Raw genomic sequence first — 18957 nt, 5'->3', positions numbered from 1 at the left:
CTGATGTAGCTATCTGTTGATACTAAACACCATTTCCACTTGAAAGAATGACCGTCAAAGTATTGTTATTCAGAATTTAGTGTTACGAAGTTAAGGAACAGAACTGTTTACTTAAAGGAAAACAACTAACAGTGTGTGTTGCAAATAATGAAATTTTAATTTCAAGAGAAACAGAATTTTGCAAAACTTTTATCCACCATTATGAGCTTGACAGTTTCTCAATACAAGAAAATGTTTCTGATGAGCTCAATGGTGATATTAACATGTGATTATTAACATTTAGCCTAGTTAAGGGTATCAACTTTTGTGAAATCTACACAACCCAGTAAACTGATAATTTTTCAAATGATCAGTGACCTTACCAAAAATTCACTTTATATCTAAGATATATCAGTGAAATTAAACAGATTATGAGAAGTTCATTGATACAATTTTCATTCCAAATTGCAACTAATCTTTAAGAAACTACTGTTTGTAAAGCTGGGTGTAACATCAAATTGGACTAACTGCACCAATCATAAGGCTATTAAAATACTCCTCCCTTTTTCAATTACATGTCTATGTGAGTCCAGATTTTCTTCACATATTAAACCAAAACAAAATATCACAACATATTGAGTGTAGAATCAGTTGTGAGTTCACATATATATTAAGAGAATGAGAGATTATATACACTGGGCACAAAGAAAGTATAAGACCAGTAAATTTTTTATTGATTTAAGATTTTTTTTTGCCATCAGGTAGACTATATGAAGAATTATAAACCATATATCTTCCTCTAGAGCTATTGTTTTAAGTATGTTTTTGCATTCATCTTAAGACTTCAGTTTTCTCTTCATGTGTAATGGAATATGTTGAAGGCTCATAATGTGCTAATAGTCAGTGTAATGATTTGTAAACTATATTCTACAACTCATTGGAAAATATAATAAATAGAGTAATAAAATATTTGGGGCACATTGTCCAATATATTGCATGTGTTTGTCGGTTTTTGCTGATTATAAATCTGTACAGTACTTTAGCGTCTTTTACAAGACTACTTATCAGGACTGAAGCAATAGCTTTGATTAAATTGATGAATCTCCAGAACAATACTTAAAATACATGAGGGTTAGATATTTTGATAACTCAGGTTGCTTGAGATAAAAAAACAGCTTTTGCATGGAACTTAACTAGAATTTACTGGTAATATTAACATCGTTTATTGTGGAAATTTACTAGGTCAGCCTTCTTACTCAAAGTCATGTTAATGAACAGTGAAATTTAATCCAACAAATATTAATTATGTATGTCACAATTAGTGGACTATAGGCTGTGAATTACTGTGAAGTCAACATTTTAAAAAAAACAGTATCCATAATGCAAATGTAAAGGCAAATCTGGGTATACTTTTTTTCACTATTAAGTTTGGGGCACAAATAACCTGGAAACATTTCAAATTAATGATTTTATTTCTTTACAGACTTAACCTAAGAATCTGTGGGAAAGCATCAGTGCCACTAGTAGGCTGCAATTTGTTTACTTTTTATGATTCATTTGTCCCTGTTTATGAAAATATATTATTAAAATGGAAAATAAAACTGAATGCAATTGTGAAAATAAAAAACACTTTGAATTTATCTGTCCCTTATATTCTGTCAAAAATTTCCTTGCATAATATAATTTTTACTTCTTCCAAAAAAAGTCAGAGGGTACAATAACAGTTGTATAAGTGAATTTATACAAAATATTTTTCATTAAAAAAATAGTAAAGTTTAAGTTCAATAACTATTATGTCAATACCTGCTTAAGTTAACAATATGCTAAACCACAGTTTTTCTATGAGAAAACTGACTTAAAATTAATTTTAAACAGACATTTTATGTCTGTATTTTATGCAGACATACAATAAATATTTATCATCGACTCTTATGGGCTAAACACTATTAGATGTAAGAAGGAGCAGAGAGATGAATAAGAAATTACTTTCCACACAGAGTTAAATATCCAATAAACATGGTCTGTAATTTTTTCCAGTAGATTAACATTATCTTGGATTGATGCAATTGTTCCAAAAGTGAGTTCTTCAAACATACTTAAAAACATCAGTACTTTTATTTATAGGTTTTTAGCAAAGCATTTGCTTCTGAATAATGAAAGAAAAATTCTAGCAGTGGATATTTTTAGGTCAATAACTATGCAGCTTTTAATCTACTTTCAGCATTTCTAAAATAACAGAAGCTATTCCTAGAAAATCCATTATATTTTTCTGTTCACTGAATTTGTTGAATAATGATAAAGGACTAAATTCACTTCAGTTTTAACTCCCCCTCTCTTTCTTTTGGCCAGAGACAAGAAATCAGAAATAAATATTGAAGTACCTAAAATAATTCTCTTCTGTTTCAGTATTCACAACTTCTTTTTTTAATCTTTACTTTTACTTTATTTTATTTTAGAGACAGGATCTTGCTTTGTTCCCCAGGCTGGAATACAGTGGCATGATCATAGCTCACTGCAGCCTCATACTCCTGGGCTCAAGGGGTCCTCCCACCTCAGCCTCCCCATTATCTGGAATTACAATGTGTGCCACTGCATCTGGCTAATTTTTTAAATATTTTTTTTGTCGTTGAGACAGGGTCTTGCTATGTTGCCAGTCTGGTTTTGAACTCCTGACCTCAAGTGACCCTCTGGCTTTCACCCCACAAAGTGCTAGGATTACAGGTATGAGCCATCATGCCTGGTCCACCACAATTCTTTTAAATTTACCCTTTTACTCAATCTTCCTTTGTAAAAAAAAACTATTATCTTATTTACCTTGGGTTCTGTAGTTATTAGGTAAATTAAAAATTACTAATTGTAGACTAAGACAAAACAAAGCAAAATAAAAGTCCATGAATCTTTACAACAATTTGAAATAATTGAAGGACTACACACTATTTAGAGAAACAAATTGCTAGCATAAATATCTTGAGGAAATTTAGACCTAGTCTTCCTATATTTATTTTCTGTTTTAAAAAATATCATTCAAATTTCATCCACATAGGGGTGATAAGACATATTTCACAGATCCATACTCATTCATTCATTAATTATTAAACATCTACAATGTGGTTGAGTATAAATTATTAAAAATGAAACATTAATATGAATCAGATGTATTAGTTGCTTGCAGCCTCATAACAAAAAGTAGACATGCATTTATTCAGATGTATTGCAAGCATAAATAATGACAAGATCAGGGATATAAGAGATGAAATTCCAGATCTTAAGAAGTTTATTAGCTAGAGTGGTGAGAGAGATTTAAATATGTACAATTTTAATACTGTGTGATAAAGTATTGCAAATAGAACAGTGCCTAATTTTCATAAAGTTTTTAGGTTTTTAGGAGAGCTTCCATAATGTCAGAAATGTTTTTTTTTAAATATAAGAAGCAAATTAGCTGTACATTCAAAAAAGTACAATGAATGAAAGAAAGGATTAAGTTCTGGCTGGGCACGGTGGCTCACGCCCGTAATCTCAACACTTTGGGAGCCCGAAGCGAGTGGATCGCTTTAAGTCTGGAGTTCAAGACCAGCCTGACCAACATGACGAAACCCTGTCTCTACTAAAAAACACAAGAAGTAGCAGAGCACGTGGCGCATGCCTGTAGTCCCAGCAATTCAGGAGGCTGAGGTACAAGAATCGCTTGAACCCCGGACGTGGAGTTTGCAGTGAGCCGAGATCGCGTCACTGCACTCTAGCCTGCGCAACAGAGCAAAACTTCCTCTCAAAACAAAACAAAACAAGACAAAGAAAGGATTGTCGTTTTAAAACGATGGAGAAAATACTCAGTTTCTGAATGAGTGACACTAGAGAAGTCAGACTGCATGGGTGTGAATCTGTATTACATCACCTACTATTCTGTGTGACCTTGAGAAATTAGCCCCGTTCTGGACAGAGTAGGGAAAACAATAGTACTGATATCAAAGACTTATTTTAGAGATTAAATGCGGAGGTAGAGATAAAGTGCTTAAAACTATGCCCAGCACTCAGCAACTACTCAATGCATACAGTATGGCAAGAGGAAAAAAGGAATGACTCTAAAGCGGTGAAACCTGACAAGCACTACCTCAGGTCAACATCAACAGTAATGTCATGTTGAAAATATGTACTTTTTATATAATTTGATGAGAATGGCACTTTAGCTCTGTGGCCTTCTTCAAAAGATCACATAACCCCAGTCTGATCAAGAGAAAAACATTAGATAAACCTCAATAGAGAAACTTAATAAACGTCAAACAAGTCAACTAAGATAAAATGTGACACTTCCACCAAACGTCTTTCCAAAAAAATACCTGTTAGCTGACTCCAATCACATCTCCATTACTCTTCTTGTAAAATGTGAATCAAGCCCAAACATGTAGCATTTATTGACCAACATAAAAAAAATCTCTGAACTTTGGAAATGGTCTTTTAAAGATATTTCTATGCCTTGGAGCCATTTGTGACTCAGTAAGAATGAGTTATGTTTATGGGTAAAAGAATGAGTGAGAATAGTAGCACATATAAAAAACAAAAGAAATGGTGGATGAAGAAAATTGAAAATGGGAACCCAGCAAAAAAAATAAATACTAAATCAGGGCAAGTAGATAAAAAATGTGCACAAGTACAAAAAGGGATAACCTGTTATGATATTGTATTTTTTAGCTCCAATTGTCTTAATTTTGTGTGTGTGTGTGTGTGTGTGTGTGTGTGTGTGTGTGCGTGTGTGGAAGGTGTAGGTTGCTGTTGCGGTTTCACATATAACAATGACAAAAGACGTGCCTCTAATGTTTTCAATCACTTGAGGACTAATTTTAAAGACTGCAGCAGGATGCTATCGTAAGTGATCTGTGTTACATATTTCTTTAGTGCCCGTTATAAACCAAATGCCATTTGAATACTTAAAGGTGAAAGTTCCTGAATTCATGTATTTTCTTGGTCTTCTGAAGCACCAGAATTTTATAAGAACAGAAAAGTAAACATTGGTTTGCACCTCTTGAACCCTACACTTGAATACAGGAAAGTTCAGTTAATGGTATCTCAGTATGCTGCATGTCATGTGCAAGTCATATGGCATAACTTAAGGTGTGTGTGAGTTTGAAATATACTGATACAAGAAAGCTTTTGAAAGTTTGTTGACGGTCTGCTTAAAATCATTTCCAAGAGAGAAATGTTTCTCAAAAAATATTCTCAGTAAGCAGAAATAAAGGGACGCTCATTCAAAGACAGGAAGCTGTGTAAAATGCTCTGTCCTCTATCCCTCTCTTGTAACTCACAAAGCACCTTAGTTTAGAAAAGGCTGCAATAAAGACACTAGTTTTCCTTTTTAATTTTTACTGTAGTCTTTTCATGAACTTATTTGGCATGTTTTACAATTTATTTTTTAAATAATAATATCCAGAGGAATTATGTTCCACCATTTACACGATGGAAAACATTGCTTTTATTATGCAATAGAAAAAAAAAAGAAATAAGCTGAAGCCAGTGTTCTGGAGCCAGCAATGCCTTTGCCAAATCGTGCAAACTTGGGCAAATCCTTTAAGGCTTCCGTGTTGTTTCTTCATCATACATTACCTTAGATATAGGATTTTATTTCGGAATACCTTTTGTTCAGAGTTGCATTGTGCAATGTAACCTCATAATGGAGAAAACTCGCATTTATTCTTCACATTATCGGCCACAATGTTTTGGATCTTATGCACCAGTACTATTTATTAATTAATTAATTTATTTTAATAGGTGGACCACAATGGACGGCCAACTTATATTTTAGGAATATGGAATTCACAACAATATCCAAAACCTATTATATCATTGTCAGTTTATTAATGAAAATGTACCAACATCAAATTTTTAGAAAAGAGAAAACTTAAGAATAAGGAACATAAATTATATTAAATAAATATATTCACTGTAATTATATTCTTATGTTGCAAACAACCCAACTTCAAAAAGATCAATGCAAGGCCAAGGGATGGAACTTTGAGAAGTATTGCTTCTCCAAATATAGGTATCTAAATTCTCATAAAATTCCTGATTATAATATTCCATATTTGAAATGTTTCTAGTATTTATTAATAGTACTTTATGTTGCTATTTACAAGTGAAATAAGGAATATAGTAATTCCAACCTTTTAATTTAACTTAGTTCCGTTTAGCCAAGGATTAAGAGGCTGTACACACTAAATCCTTCATATCTTTTGGACCTTATTAGAATTATGTGTCAGTTACAACAGCTTAAACACTTGAGATATTATAGCATTAATTGTAACCACAGTATGGTTTTTCTTCCTTCTCTCTCTCCCTCTCGCTCTTGGTTGCTGACTTTTAGTTAGGTGCATGGATCATGGCTGCCAACTTTACTCACAGCCTTGGCCTCATGACTAAGTTTGGAAAAATGATATTTGAGTAAAAGTCAGGCATGTGATTTGTAGGTCACCTGTTTAAAAATGAAACCTCTTAGCCAGGCATAGAGGTGTGCACTTGTAGTCCCAGCTACTCAGGGGGCTGACAGAAAAATTGCTTGCACCCAGGACTTTGGAGATGCAGTTAACTATGATTATGCCACTGCATTCCAGCCTGAGTGACAGAGCAAGACCCTGTCTCAATAAATAAATAAATAAGTAAATAAATAAATAAATAAATAAATAAAATGAAGCCTTTTGCCTTAAGCTTCCTCTTTTCTTCTTCCCACTAGCAGACTGGATATAGCGGTGGCTAGCTTCAACCGTTGAGACAAGGACAACTCTATGAAACGGCATAGTAAGAAAATAAAAGAAACACAGGTCTTCGAATGGTGTTATAGAGCAGAGCTGTTCTGTTTTGCACCACTCAGCTCTGTCTCATGAGAGAGAACTGTATTAATGTTTTATTTAAGCCACTATATTTTGGAGTATCCTTACTACAACATCTTAACTTTAACTAATGCAGGTATTTAAATAGCAAATAATTTCAGTCATTGTAAACAAAATGAAACAAAAATGGAAGATAGAAAAAAATCACTACTATTTAAAAGTTCAATTTATTAGGTTTATACTTTTTTCTGCTTAATTTGTGAATTTACTGAAAATAAATGCATTTTGTGATTAGCAACTTGATTAGGAATTTAAAAATTTATGAATTAGTTAATCCAAAATAGTATTTAAGGCCAGAATAAGCAGATACGGCAGTTAAAATATCCATTTCAGGTAGCTGTTTTATTAACAAAGGTGCATGTTAAAATTATAATTACAGAATAATATTAGTTATTCTTAATAGCAGCCAAATAATATATTTTTTTACAAACTGCCTCCTACATGAAAATAGAATTTTAGATCGTGTCTTTTGTGAAACTAATTTATTTAATGTAAATAAATTGATGTATTTAGTAACTATTATGTGCCACCAATATTCTCAGTCCAAATATTGTTACACTTGGATTTGTGATCAAATCATTATTCACACATAAATTGGGGTTTTACTTCTAAAGATGTGTTGTGGTTGTGCAAGTCTATGAGAAGTTATTCATGGACAGACATTTAATAATCTGCTTAAGCAAAGTACTAAATGTGAGATTTCTGGGTGTAACCCATCCTGTGTGGGGAAAACATAAATGATAATTTGACCAACTTTAAATGAAGATTCTTTGTGGGCAATATTACACCAATTTTTTTTCCCAACTGAGAAATGCAGCAATTAAGAAGTATACATGGGAAAACATAAACATCAAAATATGACATTATTTCTGGTTGAACTTAACAAGAGAATGTGACTCTAATACCCTACCCAGGATAGCTACCTAATTTATTGGGCCTATTTTGAGACAGGGATAGCAGAATATTAAACCAAACATTGTACTCTTCTAAGCATGGGACTCTGTACAAGTGCACAGGTCATGTATCCATGAAGCTAGCCCTGAATTTCTCTATATTCACATATAAATAGTGGAATTCATTTTTCAGAAGAATATCTTTCTATTGCAGCCACAAAAGGAATTCTGACTTTCTTCCCACTTGTCAATCACAGTGTGCCCTCAAGGCCAAGAGGGTCTGAAGGGACCAAGCTTTGGGCTAGATGTGAAGAGAAGGGAGATGTTCTCTCTATGCTTCCACAAAGAAAATGATTCTACTTTATGGGCTAAACAGTGTGTGCTAAAGCGAGAGAAGTACTTCTCCTCTCAATTTACAAATTTTTGTCCACTTGACGTATTGGATTTGGTGGTAAATGTGTTTCTTTCCTGGCCAGGGGAAATTCCTGGTCAGCCCCAGGAGTGCTAAAGTTAGAGGGTTGGGGCTGGAGTTAGGGCATAATATTAATTCTGTTCCCCTATCTCCAAATTCTCAGTCAATTGGGTGATTTAGAAAAAAAAAAATAGGAATCCAAATACCAGTTTCTGTGTATATTACTAGAAGAAGTCTATTGAAGAACTTGGTTTGAACTGAAGGTCAAAGTTAGGTTTGATACTATCCACCCCCGACTCCACCCCTGCCCCACCAAATTCACCTCTGTACTTAAATGTGGGAAAATTTGGGTCTCCATAGCAGACACTTTCCAAACCAGCCATATAAAAGATCTTGTCTTGTCTCATCCTATGTTCTAAAACAAGAGATTTGTGATATTAACAAAGAAAACTGTGGACACAGTTATAGCTGACTTAAATCATATTCCTGTTATTGGGACAAACCTATCAAAATGAATGGAAGAATGAAATCATCTTTCCATTAAAAAGACTAAAGTTCCAATTTTATAGGATAGTAGGAATCTGAGGAGAAAAAAAAAAAACAACTACTAAATTCTTTCTATGTCACATAGCTCCAGCACCTTGGCAGGCATCTGAGTACTATGGAGAAGGAAGCATTTGCTTTCCTTTCTTTTCCTTTCCTTCAACTCTGCCATGGTAGCACAAAAATAGCAGCTATAGTAATATGTAAACAAACGTTATTTTAAAAAATTGGTTGCAGGCCAAAATTTGCTGATCCCTGTTCCAGAACTATTAAATGACTCAATTTAGGGAATGTTTCCCTAGGATTTAGAATACATTCAGTTGTGAATTTTCTTCATATTTAGTGAGCTTAATTTTGTAAATCATGAAATTAAAATTATCAAATAAGAAAATTGTCATACATTTTGAAGAGTTGTATTTGATACAAAGTATTTAATAAATGGTGTTGGGAAAACTGGCTAGCCATATGTAGAAAGCTGTAACTGGATCCCTTCCTTACACCTTATACAAAAATTAATCCAAGATGGATTAAAGACTTAAACGTTAGACCTAAAACCATAAAAACCCTAGAAGAAAACCTAGGCATTACCATTCAGGACATAGGCATGGGCAAGGACTTCATGTCTAAAACACCAAAAGCAATGGCAACAAAAGCCAAAATTGACAAATGGGATCTAATTAAACTAAAGAGCTTCTGCACAGCAAAAAAAACTACCATCAGAGTGAACAGGCAACCTACAAAATGGGAGAAAATTTTCGCAACCTACTCATCTGACAAAGGGCTAATATTCAGAATCTACAACGAACTCAAACAAATTTACAAGAAAAAAACAAACCACCCCATCAAAAAGTGGGCGAAGGACATGAACAGACACTTCTCAAAAGAAGGCATTTATGCAGCCAAAATACACATGAAAAAATGCTCATCATCACTGGCCATCAGAGAAATGCAAATCAAAACCACAATGAGATACCATCTCACACCAGTTAGAATGGCGATCATTAAAAAGTCAGGAAACAACAGGTGCTGGAGAGGATGTGGAGAAATAGGAACACTTTTACACTGTTGGTGGGACTGTAAACTAGTTCCAACCATTGTGGAAGTCAGTGTGGTGATTCCTCAGGGATCTAGAACTAGAAATACCATTTGACCCAGCCATCCCATTACTGGGTATATACCCAAAGGACTATAAATCATGCTGCTATAAAGACACATGCACATGTATGTTTATTGCGGCACTATTCACAATAGCAAAGACTTGGGACCAACCCAAATGTCCAACAATGATAGACTAGACTAAGAAAATGTGGCACATATACACCATGGAATACTATGCAGCCATAAAAAATGATGAGTTCATGTCCTTTGTAGGGACATGGATGAAATTGAAAATCATCATTCTCAGTAAACTATCGCAAGAACAAAAAACCAAACACCGCATATTCTCACTCATAGGTGGGAATTGAACAATGAGATCACATGGACACTGGGGGGAAACATCACACTCTGGGGACTGTTGTGGGGTTGGGGGAGTGGGGAGGGATAGCATTAGGAGATATACCCAATGCTAAATGATGAGTTAATGGGTGCAGGACACCAGCATGGCACATGTATACATATGTAACTAACCTGCACATTGTGCATATGTACCCTAAAACGTAAAGTATAATAATAATAAAAAATAAATAAATAAATAAAAGAATTTAAAAAATGGGGGAGAGTGAAGAAAATAACCAAAATTTAAATTTTAATTATGCCAGGCATTTTGGCTTAGAAACCATTTAGAAAATGACTTCCATCAGGAAAACAGTTGGTTTAATGAATTAGAGCATTAACACTAAGAGCCTTAGGTTCATGACTCAACTGTTATTACTCTTGCCATTTGCAAAGCTTGCTTAGGGCTTCGTTTTTGAGACAAATGAAAAAAGGATTTAACTCCGTTGGTTCCACAGACATTAATGGAATCCATTCATCTACCTTGCCATGCTCTGCCTAGAAATTTACTCTTTAAGGCTTATATTTACAACTTTAAGTATGGCCTGTGAGCTTGCCTTAGGGTTAAAAAAAAAAAAAAAAAACAGACAAAAACTGAATTTACTAACTCTGATTATTTAAAAATAATTTCCATGAAAATGTGATGTATTAGTTGCTTATTCATAAGATACACTTCCTGGACATAGTTTCTCTTATTCAGACTCTAACCTTCAAGACCAAATGAGACAAAGAATGAGTCAAATTTTCCTTTGGTGCTAATCTCCATTCCTCCCTTCTACAAGAAACACTATTTCTTTCATTTTAAAAAAGTTGAACTGTACAAAATTCAATGTGCTCCTCAGATGTTAGCTAAATAATTGTTTAATGTTTCAATGAAAACAAATGTGTGTCAGAAACATCTTGAAGAATCCATATTCTAAATATAGAACTGCATTTTCTCATTAAATTTCTGTATCTATATCAAACTGGCAATGTTAGATAAATTCCAAATTAAGTAGATGGTATAAGTAGACTTTTTAAAGGGGTAAAAACAATGTTTACTTCTGAAAGGATACATGGAATAGTCAAAAGGAAAGAAAATAGTTTTAAAGAAATAGCCTTCAGTGCAATCAAGGTAAATTTACCATTTACTACTGAAACTGTGCCTCTTTCAGGATATCAAGCTGGGAAAAGTTAGCCAGTGATATTTGTAAATATCACTGTAAAATATCCAGTAAATATTTGTATTATTAGTCAAATATTCACAGTCCCTTCATTTGAGAGGATCTTACCTGCCCAGTGGCATGTCACTTGTAGTGCCTCTTGAGAAAGGAACATATAGCTCTTCACCCAGTTGATGTTAGGCTTGGTCACATGTCTTGCTTCGGACAATAATCCATGAGCACATGTGTCACACACTGTAGAAAGTAAAAAAGTTCCCTTCAAAGCTCGTCTTGGTTTAAAAATAAAATAATAGACACTAGAAATAATAGCTTCTTACTCTAAAGCCTCCTATCAACTATTAGTTCTTACACTTTAGCCCAGTTAGTTGCTTTGTCTTACCCAGGCATGTCTGGACAGGCCCAGGCAAGTCTTAGCTCATAGCTTATGCCTCTTCCTTACTTGGAAATGTTATTGCTTCCTTAAACCTTTCATAAGCAATTTTCTCTCCTTCTTGGTTCTCCCTTGCACTTACCTATTTAGAAAACTTTTAGGTTATTAGCAAATCAGGTATCAGTTTAAGACTGTGAGGTCCAGCTCCAGCCAATGGAGGCAGGACACAGCAGTAAAGACAAACCAAATGCGTAAGGGATAAATATGTCTGCTTTCCCTTTGTTCAAGTGTGCTCTCGCCATTGTTGCATCTGTGAGCAGCACCCTTTCTGCAGAAAGTAAAGGTTGCCTTGCTGAGAGATTCTTTGTCTCTGTGCTGACTTTTCTTCACAGTACTGATTATCTATTTTTAACACACACAATATCCAAGTGGCAGTAATAAGACCCATGATGTTTCTATAATTTGCCTTTCACTTTACTTATGCTATATGATCAGCATGTATCATATCTAGGCTGCTTGATTTGAGCAAATCTGACCTGTAATCAATCTACAGAATCTGACCTGCCATATAGGTAAGAAATAAACTTTGCTATTTTATAAGCCAATGAAAATATGAGGCTAATTATTATTGTAGCATAACAAACACACACACACAAAGACTCACTGATTAATCACTCATTATATAGGTAAGATGTTGCAATTGTATGGTCACTGAAATTACAAAAGCTAAAGAAGTCAGGTTACTAACAGTATTGATAATAATTGTCACTTTTACTTATAGTAAAATAGATTCTTTTCCTCATATTTGTATATTCTGGAGTTTTCCTGAGATTACATAGAGGACCACTGTATTACAAAGACTCAATATTGTTGACTGAGAAATCCCTTTGCTCTATCCTGCCAGTATTTAAAGGGTCTCTATCTTCCATAGAGAAATTATTTCTATAGGTTTCCCTTTCAGAGTAATTCCCTGAATTATGTCACATCACTTCTAGGCTCAAAACCCTTCAGTGCATTTCCATCTTATTAAGGCTAAAATACAAAGTTGTTACCATGGCCTTCAAGGCACTACATGAGCTAGATCCTCTCTTATCTCTCTAAACTCATGTCCTTTTACTCTGACTACAAAATACTTTTTATTACCTATATCAACCTCCTTGTTTTGTTTTTTAAATACACAGAACATGCTCCAACTTTAGGACTTCTTACTTGTTTGTTCTGTGTGGAATACGAAATACTACTCACTCAGACTGGACCATCACTCTCCATCTCCTGATTTTGCATTCTTCTTCATCTCACTTATCACCACTTTTCATATTACATACTAAAGTGTTTTCTCTCTCATTCTCTAGAATATAAGTTCCATAAAGGCAGTGACTTTTTCTGTATTTTGTTATGGCTACATCCCAAGTGCCAGGAATAGTGCTTGGAACATAACAGATAATCAATAACTTTTTAAATATATGTGTATTTGAGAGTAATAGATTCCATATGGTACAATATTAGAAATAATGCTAGCTATAACTGAATTTACCTTTATTGCATTGAAGGCTATTCCTTTAAAATGATTTTCTTTCCTTTCAACTGTATCTTTTAAATGTATTTATCTGGGTATCACTTCATTTCCCCAAAAAAAGTAAACTGTTAGCAGCAATTTAACTGAGATTTTTACACTATTAAGAAAATATTAAACAGAAGTATTACTAAAGAAGAAATAGTACTGAGAATCATAAGAATAATAATAGATATCTTAGATCATGAAATTGTTTGATTTCAATATAATAGCTAACCTAACCATTACATAATAACAATTTTTATTTAGTACACCCACATTACTTAATTTAAATGAGAAGTATGTCAGTATGAGTCAGTTGACTTGTGGTTAAGTCTCTTTTTTCACATATGAATTATATGGTTATCCCTAGCTATAAGTAATGTATGAAAGGAAAACAATGAAGTCAAAGAAATTTGAAGTGGATTAAATCAGTTATCATAATTCAACATATTAAGTTAGAAAATCAGTAATGGATTGTCTAGGTACATTTATAAGAGTTAATGAAAAAGAGGGAAGCAGGGATTATGTCAAGATACTTCATTAGCAAGAATTTGGGTGAAAGTTATCATTTTAAAAATTCTAACTTTTTAAAATTTTAGTTTTAAGGTAATATTTTAAAAATGTTCTATAGGCAAAGATGTGACAACTGAACAAGGGGAAGTTTGCAGGAATAATTTTTTTTATTTTAGTTATATTAAATTTGCAATGGAAGGCTTGAGTTCAGGGTTATCTAGGATAGGCTAGAAATTTTGGTTTGGAAATAGAAGTTCCTAGAAGGGACTAAAGAAAGAGAATAGAGAAGGATCCAGCACCAGGACCTGAAGAAGTCCATCACTTAAACATTTACTCAAGTAGGGAGAACAAACTATGGGGACTAAAGAGGAGTGACCAGTGAAGATAAAAAAAAAATGGTGTGTAATAGGAAGAAATGGGTAGTCAACTGTGTTAAATCTCTGACAAGTATAATTACATGAAAGTTGTAAAAGTGAATGGAAGGATATGTCTTCTAATTCAAAAATCTTGAGTTGTTAAAATAATGTAAGAATGATGAGGCACCATCAGGCATTGTACTTTATGTAATATATATTTATAAGACATATTCAATATGAGAAAGCTTCTTAGGAAAGAATCTTACTGGATGAAAGGGGACTAACAATGAGATCTTGAAATGAGTGTGAAATCGTCAAGAGAAATTGATTGAGGGGTAGGGAAGAGAAGAGAGAAAACTGATAAGAGAAATGAAAGGACGCAAAGGCAAAACTCGTTTCTGAAAAAAATGCCTTTCTTAGGTGTGAATTTCATTAGTAATTAACATAAAACTGTTTAGACAGAGCTCACTGTGTTAGGCTTTGTGACAATGACTTTACATGTCTGTATTAAGCTATACAACTATGGTAATCAGGTAGGATATATTACAATGTTAATGATGGCAAAAATGAGAAGAAATTTAAATAAATCTAATAAATATTAAATTTTTATATGTCTAAGAAATGTTAGAAGTATCAAAATTTAATTTGTTTAAGATTCCAAGGGGTTCTACCCCTTAACAATGAGGTTACTTGGCTAAATTATTTTATTGTAAATGTCAGGGAGAAAAGTTATTCAAATAATACTCTCTGGAAGTACATCCTAGCCATAAAAATGCTAGACTGTTTTCTCTGCTGCATTGTTTGTCTCTCTTTTTTTTTTTTTTTGAGAGGGAGTCTTGCTCTATCTCCCAGGGTGGAGTGCAGTGGCCTGATCTTGGCTTATTGCAACCTCCACCTCCCGGGTTCAAGCTGTTTCTGTCTCTTATTTTCTGTTTTACTTCAGGTGAATTATCAACACATTTCCACTCAAATAAACATATTTTATATTTAAAAAAATTTTTCATAATTCAATTTCTCAATTCTATCAATAGGACAAGCAGCTTAATGAGTTAATTACAGATATGAGCTTACTTTCAACCTATGCCTGATTTAAAAGCATCTACATTTTCTTCTTACAAGCTTTAATTGAATAACTACATAAAAATTATTTTACATCAAGGATACTTCTGAGTGAGTTGGTGTATGAAAGCTCTATGCATAACACAAGTTCACAGAGATTAAGTCAGCCAGATTTTATATGGCAGGAAGCCATCGTAAATGCATGCAGGCGGTTTGACACACAGACCATAGGCATTGTGTAAAGAAAACTATGAATAACTATACTGTTCATAAACACTGTCTGAGACATACATCTCCATGACATTTTCTTGAGCAAAAAAAGTCCCTTAGAGACATGAGCTTTTATAAACCCATTAAAATGATATCTTGTAAGCTGTTGCTTCCATTTTCTAAATACTTGCTGAGTTTTTCTGGAGGCCTGTGGTATATTTTTATCTGGCACGTAGCTGACTTAAACATATTAATATTTTCAAATGCAAGGGCCAGCCTTCAATTATTATTTTATAATTTAGAAGTGAATTTTATGACTATTTTCTTCAAGCAACTTATTTCTTCATCCAAATGGTTCCTCAATAATTATGTATTATCTTACACACTATATGGATGGAGTATAACTAATATCTCTGCAGACTGGCATATGTTCACCACAGTCAACATTGTTGCCTTTGAAACAAATGGCTCTGATTATTATAGATAGATATGCTAATCACAGACTACATGGTAAAGGTGAAAAGAAGAGTATGTATTTTTTCAGAAGGCACTTACAACATATAACATTACCCCTTATTGTTCTACTCTCAAATTTTACAAACTTAACATTGACATTTTTAGCAGAGGAAATATAAATTGACAAATTTTAAGTCTGGTAATCCTGCTGAGCCACAATTCAACTCAGACTATTTTACAGTGTTGATACATTTTAATATGGATATGCTCCCTTAAAAATTCCACCTTCCACCATGATTTGAAGTTTGCAACAGGATTAAAATTGAGTGTTAATTTTCTACACTCATATAGACAGGAAATTACCTACAATGAAACCAAAGATACAAAATGAATGGCTAATCTATGTATTAGAGGCTAGCTGTGTATATTCAATGTTGAATGGGTTCTATTTCTTGAGAAAAATTACTAAAATCACCAAGCACAAAGGTGTAATCAACTGAAATATTCACCTAAATGGTAGCAAAGAATTGTTACACATCCATTGTATGCCACCATGACTTTTAAAACCTACATAAAGTTTACAATTTTTTACGTTTTTTTAATCACATGAATGCTTATAAATTATATATAATACACTGTTTTACAGTTTAGGCATGGTTATGATTCTATGCAATGGTACTGGTGCAAATTATGTTTAATAGCAACATCGCAATATGTGTGTTATGATATATTATTATTTTTTTCTTTTTGAGACAGAGGTCTAGCTCTGTCGCTAGGCTGGAGTGCAGTGGCACAATCTCAGCTCACTGCAACCTCTGCCTCCCGGGTTCAAACGATTCTCCTGCCCTTGCCTCCCAAGTAGCTGGGATTACAGGCACGCGCTGCCACACCCAGCTAATTTTTGTATTTTTAGTAGAGACAGGGTTTCACCATGTTGGCCAGGATGTTCTCTATCTCCTGACCTCATGATCGGCCCATCTCATCCTCCCAAAGTGCTGGGATTACAGGTGTGAGCCATTGCGCCCAGCCATGATATATTCTTAATAGCTTTATTGAGGTATAATTTATATCTCATAACATTTTCTCATTTAAAAAGTATAGTTCAAGGACTTTTAGTGTATTCACAGAGATTTATAACCATCACTACAATCTATTTTAGAACACGCCAGATAAAATCTCATACCCATTACCAGTTACTCCCTATGTCCCAACCCAGACACATACCCTCTCAAGCTTTTGAAAGCCACAAATCTGCTTTAGTTTCTATAATATTTGGGGCCTTTTGAAGAACATTTTCTTTTTAAAATTATATTTTCAATTGATAGATAAAATTGTATATATTCATCATGCAAACATGATGTCTTGAAGTACATACAGATTGTGGAATGGTTAAATCTGGCTAATTAATATATAAATTACCTAACATAGTCATCATTTTTATGGTAAGCAAATTTAATATCCACTCTCTTAGCATTTTTAGGAATACAATTTATCATTATTAATTCTAGTCACCATGCTATACAATGAATCTCTTGAATATATTCCTCCCATCTACCGACCAACCAACATCTTCCCAACCCCTTCACAACTTGCACAGCCCCCTGGTAACTACTATTATTCTCCTCTCTATTTTCTTCTCATTCTCCTGCTCTTTTCTTCTTCTTTTCTTGCTATATTGCCCAGGCAGTTCTTGAACTCCTGGGCTCAAGTGATCTTCCTGCTTCAGCTTCCCAAAGTGCTGGGATTACAGGCATGAGCCACTGTGCCTAGCCCTACTCTGTACTTCTGTGAGATCAACTTTTGAAGATTCCACGTAGAAGTGGGATTAGGCAATATTTGTCTTTCTGTACCTGGCTTATTTCACTTAAATAATGTCCTCCAGTTTTACCCATGTAGTGGCATTTTATGACTGAACAGTATTCAATTTTTTAGACAAGCCACATATTATTTATCCACTCATCTGCTGATGAACCCAGGTTAATTCCATATCGGTTATTTTCAACAGTGCTGCAATAAACAGAGAAATGCAGATATCTCTGTGATGTACTGATTTTATTTCCTTTGTATATATATTGAGTAGTGAGATTTCAGGATCAAATGGTTTTTTCACTTTTTAATTTTTCGAGGAAACTCCAAACTATTTTTCATAATAGTTTTACTAATTTGCATCCCCACCAATAGTGTACATGGGTTCCCTTTTCTCCACATCTTCATGAGCCATTGTCATCTTTTGTCTTTTTGATAATAGCCTTTTTAACAAATATGAGGTGCTACTGTGTTGTGGTTCCAATTTGAATTTTTAAGTGATTAGTAATATTGACTACTTTTTCATATACTCACTGTTCATTGTATATCTTCTTTTGAGAAATTTCTATTCAGGTCCTTTGCTTATTTTTTTAAATTCAACTTTTATTGGAGTCTAAAGCAAAGTTCTGTGTTCACTTCCTTCTCTTTCTTCCAAGTGGATCGTATTTCTTTTTGTGCTGTACAGCCTGGGTACAAGTGCAGGATTGTTACAAGAGTATATAGTGTGATGCTGAGGTTTGGGCTTCTGTTGAGCCTATCACCCAGATACTGAACCTCCCAATAGGAGGTTTTTCAGCCCTTTCCCCTTCCTCCTTTTGGAATCCCTAGTGTCTACTATTCCTGTTTTATGCCAACATGTACTCAAAATTTAACTCCCACTTATAAGTGAGAACATAAGATAATTGGTTTTCAGTTTCTGCATTAATTCACTTCAGATAATGTCCTCTAGCAGCATCTGCATTGCTGGAACTCCTACATATGTTATTTGCTTCTTTTATCTTGTTGCTTTCAGTATTCTCTCTTTGTTTTTTGTCAGTTTGACTCAGTTTAGTTTTATTTGGATTGAATCTGTTTTGGTAACTTTGACTTTCCTGTACCTAGATATTTACATCTTTCTCCAGGTTTAGGATGTTTTCCACATTTCTCATTCAGGTCACTTATTGTTTCCTTATTCTGTTAAATCGTTTCTCTGAATTTTATTGAAGTCCATTAACCCTTCTTAAAACGTTATAATGGATTGTCAAACAGTTCATATATCTTCATTTCTTTCATG

The 18957-nt window shown here is 33.8% G+C and overlaps 1 long non-coding RNA gene across 1 annotated transcript in view, besides 1 other annotated feature; it reads right to left on the bottom strand.

The window, feature by feature from the left end:
• Window positions 1–18957, bottom strand: part of LINC01515 (long intergenic non-protein coding RNA 1515) — a 195117-nt gene that overhangs the window by 139313 nt on the left and 36847 nt on the right. Inside the window, exon 3 of the long non-coding RNA NR_120647.1 lies at window positions 11468–11593. This is a non-coding gene — a long non-coding RNA (long intergenic non-protein coding RNA 1515). The remainder of the gene's footprint in view (window positions 1–11467; window positions 11594–18957) is intronic.
• Window positions 11124–12323: an enhancer, noted in NCBI's record as "MED14-independent group 3 enhancer chr10:67374664-67375863 (GRCh37/hg19 assembly coordinates)". NCBI's record gives its function as "activates an origin of replication core promoter dependent on BRD2, BRD4, P300/CBP and CDK7 cofactors, and independent of MED14, by STARR-seq in HCT116 cells {active_cell/tissue: HCT116}" and the evidence as "EXISTENCE:reporter gene assay evidence [ECO:0000049][PMID:35650434]".

This window comes from Homo sapiens, chromosome 10 (genome assembly GCF_000001405.40).
Source record: "Homo sapiens chromosome 10, GRCh38.p14 Primary Assembly".
Taxonomy (NCBI): Eukaryota; Metazoa; Chordata; class Mammalia; order Primates; family Hominidae; genus Homo; species Homo sapiens.
This window is presented reverse-complemented; position numbering and strand designations above follow the sequence as displayed.